Raw genomic sequence first — 8,788 nt, 5'->3', positions numbered from 1 at the left:
GAAGATGAAGAGAGATGGATGATGGCGAGGTTACAGAACAATTTGAATGTATTTAATGCCACTGAATTGTACACTTCATTTTTTAATTTTTTTTTGAGACGGGGTTTCACCGTGTTAGCCAGGATGGTCTCGATCTCCTGACCTCGTGATCCACCCACCTTGGCCTCCCAAAGTGCTGGGATTTACAGGCGTGAGCCACCATGCCCGGGGTGAATTGTACACTTGAAAATGACTGGCTGGGCGCGGTGGCTCACGCCTGTAATCCCAGCACTTTGGGAGGCCAAGGCGGGCGGATCACGAGGTCAGGAGATCGAGACCATCCTGGCTAACACGGTGAAACCCCGTCTCTACTAAAAACACAAAAAATTAGCTGGGCGTGGTGGCGGGCGCCTGTAGTCCCAGCTACTCGGGAGGCTGAGACAGGAGAATGGCTTGAACCCGGGGGGTGAAGTTTGCAGTGAGCCGAGATCACGCCACTGCACTCCAGCCTGGGCGACAGAGTGAGACTCTGTGTCAAAAAACAAACAAACAAAAACGATTAAAATGGGCTGAGAGCGGTGGCTCACGCCTGCAATCCTAACAGTTTGGAAGGCCAAGGTGGGCAGATCACTTGAGGTCAGGAGTTTGAGACCAGCCTGGCCAACACGGTGAAACATTAGCCGGGCATGGTGGTGCATGCCTGTAGTCCCACCTATTTGGGAGTCGGAGGTGAGAGAATTGCTTGAACCGGGGAGGTGGAGGTTGCAGTGAGCCAAAATCGTGCCATTGCACTCTAGCCTGGGCGATAGAGCAAGACTGTCTCAAAAAATATATATTAATAAAATGGTTAAAATGGCAAATTTTATGTAATGTATATATAATGTATATTTCTAACAATAAAAGAAAAATAAAAGAGAGAGTCATAGATTTAGGCAGATATTTAATCCAGCCTAAAGCTAGGATGTTGAATTAGCTAACGTCTATGAGTATCTCGCATGTCTCTTTCCAACACATCTATATCTGTGTCTATATCTGCACATCTATCTGTCCACCCATCTAATCTTTTTTTTTTTTTTGAGACAGGGTCTCACTCTGTCACCCAGGCTAGAGTGCAGTGCCGCGATCACAGCTCACTGCAGCCTCAACCTCCTGGGTTCAAGTGATCCTCCCACCTCAGCCTCCAGGTGTGCACCACCACACCCGGATAATTTTTGTATTTTTAGTAGAGATGGGCTTTCACCATGTTGGCCAGGCTGGGCTCAAACTCCTAACCTCAAGTGATCCACCTGCCTCGTCCTCCCAAAGTGCTGGGCTTATAGGTGTGAGCCACTGTGCCCAGTCCATTTGTTTTTGTTTGTTTTTTACTTTTAGTAGAGATGGGATCTCCTTGTGTTGCCCAAGCTAGTCTAGAACTCCTGACCTCAAGCGATCCCTCTGCCTCGGCCTCTCAAAGTGCTGGAATTACAGGTGTGAGCCACCATGCCCGGCCTGTATAGCCATTTGGAAAAATTAAGACTACAACAATAATTTTGTGTGTGTGTGTGTGTGTGTGTGTGAGAGAGAGAGAGACAGAGAGAGAGAGAGTCTAGCTCTGTTGCCCAGTCTGGAGTGCAGTGGTGCCATCTCAACTCACTGCAACCTCCAACTCCTGGGTTCAAGCCTCCTGCCTCAGCCTCCTGCGTAGCTGGGATTACAGGCGCCTGACACCACGCCCAGCTAATTCTTGTATTTTTAGTAGAGACGGGGTTTCACCATCTTGGCCAGGCTGGTCTCAAACTCCTGACCTCGTGATCCACCTGCCTCAGCCTCCCAAAGTGCTGGGATTACAGGCATGAGCCACCATGCCCAGCCTACAACAATTTTTTTTTTTTTTTTTGAGATGGAGTCTCACTCTGTTGCCCAGGCTGAAGTGCAGTGGTGCAATCTCGGCTCACTGCAACCTCCGCCTCCTGGGTTCACACCACTCTCCTGCCTCAGCCTCCTGAGTAGCTGGGACTACAGGCGCCCGCCACCACACCCGGCTAATTTTTTTTTTTTTTGTATTTTTAGTGGAGACGGGTTTCACCATGTTAGCCAGGATGGTCTCGATCTCCTGACATCGTGATCTGCCTGCCTCAGCCTCCCAAAGTGCTGGGATTACAGGCGTGAGCCACCGCGCCCGGCCTACAACAATAATTTTTAAAATCTGCTAGAATCTGGAGCTCAGGGAAAGAGGGGAGGAGAGGGAGCAGGGGATTGCTGCCTGGGGAGGCCAGGGAAGCCAGGGTTGTTCAGGAGAGAGCCTGGGAGGAAGGGTATAGACCTGTGGCAACAAACACAACTAATGTGAATTACAAGTGAGGACAGTGGGACCAGGGGCCCAGAGAAAAAAGATCCTCTTTCTCAGAGGCTCAAGAGGGAAACAGCTGGCTGGTGCTGAGAAGCAAAGGCATGGAGGTCAAGCCCTTAAGGATGTGGGGCCTGGGGACTTCGTGGTCCTCAGGCTGGGAACTTGCCAGCCCGGCAGCCACAGGGCTCGGCTCAAGGTACGGGCCACGAGGGAGCCTGTCCAGGTCCTCAAACTGTGGCAAAGCAGTCACCACATGGCTGACTGAGGCTCACGTGGGTCACAATGTCCATCTCATGACTTAGTCTCCTTGAGCACATCCTCCTGAGGCATCAGGTAAGGAGAGGGACCTGTCATGGATGCCCTGAGGCAGGACACAGCAGGTGCCTTGAGGGCTCGTCTGGGGTTTTCCATCTTAAACGGGGTCTAGAGGGGGCTTCTGGGGCAGGTGGTCTCTGGAATGTCCATGCTCACAAGCCGCCGGGACACAGTGGCCAACTGGGTGTCAGCTGTGCAGCCTGTCCCCCTGACAGGCCAGGCCTGAGCAGTCCCCTCCTTTCTCTGGCTCCACAAAAGACTTCCTCTTTGAGGGGCAAGGGTGGAGGTTCAGCCATGAAAATATGGATAAATACAGTTTGAAGGGATGCGGGGAGGAACAATAAAATCTCCTTATTTGAGGGGGAAGAAAAACAATGCTTCCCACACATCCACTTGCCTGAAGGGCTCGGGGTCCAGGGCCCCCTCCCAGCCCCCACGAAGGCTGTCCTCAGCCTGGCGCAGTGGCTCACGCCTGTAATCCCAGCACTTTGGGAGGCCGAGGCCGGTGGATCACCTGAGGTCAGGAGTTCAAGACCAGCCTGACCAACAAGGTAAAAACCCGTTTCTACTAAAAATACAAAAATTAGCCAGGCGTGGTGGCGGGCGCCTGTAGTCCCAGCTACTCAGGAGACTGAGACAGGAGAATTGCTTGAACCCAGGAGGCAGAAATTGCAGTGAGTCGAGATCATGCCACTGCACTCCAGCGTGGGCAACAGAGCGAGACTCTGTCTCAATTAAAAAAAAAAAAAAAGGCCAGGCGTGGTGGCTCATGCCTGTAATCCCAGCACTTTGGGAGGCTGAGGCAGGTGGATCACGAGGTCAGGAGATCGAGATCATCCTGGCTAACATGGTGAAACCCCATCTCTATTAAAAATACAAAAAATTAGCCAGGCCTGGTGGCGGGTGCCTGTGGTTCCAGCTACTTGGGAGGCCAAGGCAGGAGAATGGAGTGAACCTGGGAGGCAGAGGTTGCGGTGAGCCGAGATTGCACCACTGCACTCCAGCCTGGGTGACACAGCGAGACTCCATCTCAAAAAAAAAAAAAAAGAAAGAAAGAAAGAAAAGAAAGAAAGAAAGAAAGAAAGAAAGAAAGAAAGAAAGAAAGAAAGAAAGAAAGAAAGAAAGAAAGAAAGAAAGAAAGAAAAAGCTGTCTTCCTAGAGAGGCTGGTAGAGAGGGCAGAGAGGAAACCTGCTCCCAAAGTTAAGGGAGGGAGGGCCGGGAGCGGTGGCTCATGATCGAGATCATCCTGGCCAACACGGTGAAACCCCATCTCTACTAAAAATACAAAAATTAGCTGGGCGTGGTGGCCTGTGCCTGTAATCTCAGCTACTCGGGAGGCCAAGGCAGGAGAATTGCTTGAACCAGGGAGTAGCAGGGAGTAGGAGGTTGCAGTGAGCCAAGATCGCGCCACTGCACTCCAGCCTGGCAACAGAGCGAGACTCTGTCTCAAGAAAAAAAAAAAAAAGAAAAAAGAAAAAAGTTAAGGGAGGGAGACAGTGAGAACTCCCAAGAACCACCTTGTAATAGAGCTACTCATGATTACACAATGTCCTGGAAGTCGTAAAATGTATGGCTGCTTCCATCTGAGCACACCTCCCACACAGCTGGCACTTGGCTAAGCCTTTAATTTACTTTATCTCTTTGAAGATAGGAGACTAAGGTGGTCAAGGGCTCAAACTACAATCAGAGAACCGGCTAAGGCTCCAGTATGGCAGGAATTGTGTGGCCTTGGGCAAGTTTCTCAACCTCTCTGAGCTCAAGTTTCTTCATCTCCTGTGTCTTACCCTAAACCCCACAGTATTAATCACACTGTCCCCTGGCTCCACCTTCACTGCCTGGACTCACAGGGAGGAGGCAGGAGATCAACGGGGTGGTTGGCCAGGCAGCATTGTTCCAGGTAGAAGCCCCCTGGCCAGGGATGGGTCCTGGAGGATGCAGGATCCTAAACTGGCCTGAGGCCACCTCCCAACCCTTTGAACAAATGAAGAAAAAGAGCCCCTGAGTGAGAAGAAGAACTGGGATGGATCACAGGGCTCAGGACTCCTGGTCCAGTGCTCCCTCTACAGCAGCACCCTCGGGGAGTCTGTGTGTTTCAGGTACAGACACCAAGAGACCAGAGAGTTTTCCCCTCGTGGCTCTACCACCAGAATATCCAGAATGAGTAAACCCATAGAAACAAAAAGCAGATTGGTGGCTGCCAGACTAGGGAAGGACGGAATGGGGAGTAAATGCTTAATGGGTACAGGGTTTCCTTTTGGAGTGATAATGTTTGAAACTAGAAGTGGCAGTTGCACACATCATGAATATGTACTAAATGCCACTGGGTTGTTCACGTTTTTGTTTTTGTTTTTTTTTGAGACGGAGTCTTGCTCTGTCGCCAGGCTGGAGGGCAGTGGCGCGATCTTGGCTCACTGCAACCTCCACCGCCTGGGTTCAAGCGATTCTCCTGCCTCAGCCTCCTGAGTAGCTGGGACTACAGGCGCGCGCCACCCACACCCAGCTAATTTTTTGTATTTTTAGTGGAGACAGGGTTTCACCACATTGGACAGGATGATCTCCATCCCCTGACCTCACGATCCACCCGCCTCGGCCTCCCAAAGTGCTGGGATTACAGACATGAGCCACTGAGCCCAGCCTTTTTTTTTTTTTTTTTTTTTTTTGAGGCAAGGTCTCACTGTCACCCAGGATGGAGTGCAGTGACGCAATCACAGCTCACTGCATCCTTGACCTTCTGGGTTTAAGCAATCCTTCCACCTCAGCTTCCTGAGTAGCTGGGACTACAGATGTGCACCAACACACCTGAATGTTTTGTTTGGTTGTTTTTTTTTTTTTTTGGTAGAGACAGGGTCTCATCATGTTGCACAGGTTGGTCTCGAACTCGGGCTCAAGCAATCTTCCCACCTGGGCCTCTCAAAGTGCTGGGATTACACATGTGAGCCACCATGCCCTGGCCTTATTCACTTTTTTTCTTTTCTTTTTTTTTTTTTTTAAAAGGAGTCTCGCTCTGTCGCCCAGGCTGGAGTACAGTGGTGCGATCTCGGCTCACTGCAACCTCCGCCTCCTGGGTTCAAGAGATTGTCCTGCCTCAGCCTCCCAAGAAGCTGGGATTATAGGCACATGCCGCCACGCTCAACTAATTTTTTTTCTTTTTTCTTTTTTTTTTTTTTTGTTTTTTTGAGACGGAGTCTCACTCTGCTGCCCAGGCTGGAGTGCAGTGGTGCGATCTCAGCTCACTGCAACCTCCACCTCCCGGGTTCAAGTGATTCTCCTGCCTCAGCCTCCTGAGTAGCTGGGATTACAGGTGCACGCCACCACACCCGGCTAATTTTTGTATTTTTAGTAGAGACGGGGTTTCACCATGTTGGTCATGCTGGTCTCAAACTACTGACCTCATGATCCACTTGCTTTGGCCTCCCAAAGTGCTGGGATTACAGGTGTGAGCCAGCGTGCCTGACTTAATTTTTATATTTTTTAGTAGAGATGGGGTTTCACCCTGTTGGCCAGGCTGGTCTCGAACTCCTGACCTCAGGTAATCCGCCCACCTCAGCCTCCCAAAGTGCTGGGATTACAGGCATGAGCCACCCACACCCGCCCTTTGTTCACTTTTAAAGGGGTGATTTTGTGGCATGTAAATTTCACTTCAAGAATGAAAAATAGGCTGGGTGCGGTGGCTCACGCCTTTAATCCTGGCACTTTGGGAGGCCAAGGTGGACGGATCACCTGAGGTCAGGAGTTTTTTGTTTTTTTTTTTTTTGAGACGGAGTCTGGCTCTGTCGCCCAGGCTGGAGTGCAGTGGCGCGATCTCGGCTCACTGCAAGCTCCGCCTCCCAGGTTCATGCCATTCTCCTGCCTCAGCCTCCCGGTAGCTGGGACTACAGGCGCCCGCCAGCACACCCGGTTATTTTTTTGTATTTTCAGTAGAGACAGTGTTTCACAGTGTTAGCCAGGATGGTCTCGATCTCCTGACCTCGTGATCCGCCCACCTCAGCCTCCCAAAGTGCTGGGATTACAGGCGTGAGCCACTGCGCCTGGCCAGGAGTTTTTGAGACCAGCCTGGCCAACAGGCTGAAACTCTGTCTCTACTAAAAATACAAAAACTAGCTGGGCATGGTGGCGGGCACCTGTAATCCCAGCTACATCGGAGGCTGAGGCAGGAGAATTGCTTGAACCTGGGAGGCGGAGGTTGCAGTGAGCTGAGACTGCGCCATTGCACTCCAGCCTGGGCAACAAGAGTGAAACTGCGTCTCAAAAACCAAAACAACAAACAAAAAAAGAATGAAAAATAAGCTGGGCATGGTGGCTCATGCCTATAATCCCAGCACTTTGGGAGGCTGAGATGGGCAGATCACCTGAGGTCAGGAGTTTTTGAGACCAGCCTGGCCAACAGGATGTAAACCCGTCTCTACTAAAAATACAAAAATAAGCTGGGCGTCGTGGCAGGTGCCCGTAATCCCAGCTACTCGGGAGGCTGAGGCAGGAGAATTGCTTGAACCTGGGGGGGCAGAGGTTGCAGTGAGCTGAGATCGCACCACTGCACTCCAGCCTGAGCAACAGTGAGACTCTGTCTCAAAAAAAAATAAATAAATAAAAAATAAAAAGAATGGTACCAGTAGCTAAGAGTGGACAAGTGCTAAAGAGGTAGGGGTGGTAACAGGAGGGGCTGAGGGCTGGGAGAGGGGAAGACTTGGCAGAAACAGGTAAGGTTTAGGTGGTGGAAAGGTTTGAGGGAAGGTCCCAGGCTGCAGGTGAAGGTAGTCTGGAGGAAGCTGACTTTGATCCCTTGGCCAGCAGGGGAGAAGCAGAAGGAGCGGGATTCAAGGAAGGCCCTTGCAGCCTCTGGGCTGTTTGCTTCCTCTCTGACTGGAAGGTCCTGGTTAGGGGGTAGGGCCTGCATCCTTTGAGCTGTTTCACTTTCAAAGTGGCATCACAGGTGGATGGTTCTTTTAAAAACCCTGGCACCAATGGAATGAAATGGAACACGTAGGCAGCAGGAAGATTCGCCGCCGCCCACACCAGGGAAGTGAGGCCGGCACTGGGCTGCATGTGTGCCACCTCCAGGCGGCCAGGAGACTCCCCAGGGCAGAGAGGGCCTGCCCAGCACCCATGGCAGCTTCAGCACTTGCAGAGGGCAGCACCCCCTGGGGCCTGGGGTGGGGGAAGGGATTGGGTGAGCACCATGGGCTCCTTTGTCAGACCCAGGAAGGAGAGTGGGGGCAGCTACCGGAAGTAGGGGGATGAGAAGCTCCCTCCGGAATGTATGCCCCCCTCTCCCCTCCCCTCTCCTCCCCTCCCCACATGCACAGCCCCTGCACATGCTCAGTGTGCCCATGAATTGGGTTGGTTGGGGGAGGGCACTGACTGGCACCCCCACTTAAAGGGCCAGTGCCACACTTGCCTGTTCCCAACAAGGGCAATGGGACCTGGCCACCTTTCCCCCCAATACCGTTACTTCCCTTTGGACCCCCTCCCCCCACTCCCTGGCAGCTTCTTCCTGCCCCAGCCCACCAATCTCTGCCTACCCCTCTCCCTCATACTCTGACCCTATTGCAGGCAGGGTCTGTCCACTGGGCACAGGAGTTTCCACCTGGGGTCGGGCAGTTCCTGCCGGGGAAGAAAGAGGGATCCTAAGACAGGCTGGGCAGGGGTGGTGGGAGGCTTCAACAGTCACTCCCATGAAACATATGTTCTCTGCGCTTCCCTTCCCCGGCCCAGTTGACCAAGAGGGTCCCAGAAAGCACAGGGCGTGAGGGCAGCTGTGGAAAGGCCCAGGGAGGCTGTGTCCAAGCCCAACTTCCCCAGCTAGGGCGTGTGATGTGGGGGTGGGGGTGTCTTGTAAACTGGAGCTTCCACCATTGCAGTAGGCGGAGTGGAGGCCCAGGCTTCAAGACCAAGCAGCAGGTGTGGGAACAACTGGAAGCAGCGAAGGGGGCGGGGCACCGAGGGACCCAGGCCTGGCTCCCACCCACAGCTGAGCCGGTTCTCTCCAGTGCTAAGCCCCAGCTCTGGCCCCAGGACGATCTCCTCCCTGCACACCCCTTACCCAGGAATCAGGGAGCCAGACAGGGGGAGGGGCAGACAGGGACCCTTTTCACGGACCCCTCCCATTTGGGTTCAGGCCCTCCCACACTCCCGGCTAGCATCCTCTCCTTTGTTCTCTTCTTGCC

The 8,788-nt window shown here is 52.6% G+C and overlaps 3 annotated features.

Moving 5' to 3' along the window:
• Positions 6,422 to 7,379: an enhancer, noted in NCBI's record as "H3K27ac-H3K4me1 hESC enhancer chr17:43250620-43251577 (GRCh37/hg19 assembly coordinates)". NCBI's record gives its function as "activates a minimal SCP1, AML or CMV promoter by ChIP-STARR-seq in naive and primed H9 embryonic stem cells {active_cell/tissue: H9 hESC(naive and primed)}" and the evidence as "EXISTENCE:reporter gene assay evidence [ECO:0000049][PMID:30033119]".
• Positions 7,380 to 8,338: an enhancer, noted in NCBI's record as "H3K27ac-H3K4me1 hESC enhancer chr17:43249661-43250619 (GRCh37/hg19 assembly coordinates)". NCBI's record gives its function as "activates a minimal SCP1, AML or CMV promoter by ChIP-STARR-seq in naive H9 embryonic stem cells {active_cell/tissue: H9 hESC(naive)}" and the evidence as "EXISTENCE:reporter gene assay evidence [ECO:0000049][PMID:30033119]".
• Positions 8,456 to 8,750: a silencer, noted in NCBI's record as "tiled region #499; K562 Repressive non-DNase unmatched - State 7:EnhWF". NCBI's record gives its function as "represses a minimal TATA promoter and a strong SV40 promoter by Sharpr-MPRA in K562 cells {active_cell/tissue: K562}" and the evidence as "EXISTENCE:reporter gene assay evidence [ECO:0000049][PMID:27701403]".

Source organism: Homo sapiens, chromosome 17, assembly GCF_000001405.40.
Source record: "Homo sapiens chromosome 17, GRCh38.p14 Primary Assembly".
Taxonomy (NCBI): domain Eukaryota; kingdom Metazoa; phylum Chordata; class Mammalia; order Primates; family Hominidae; genus Homo; species Homo sapiens.
This window is presented reverse-complemented; position numbering and strand designations above follow the sequence as displayed.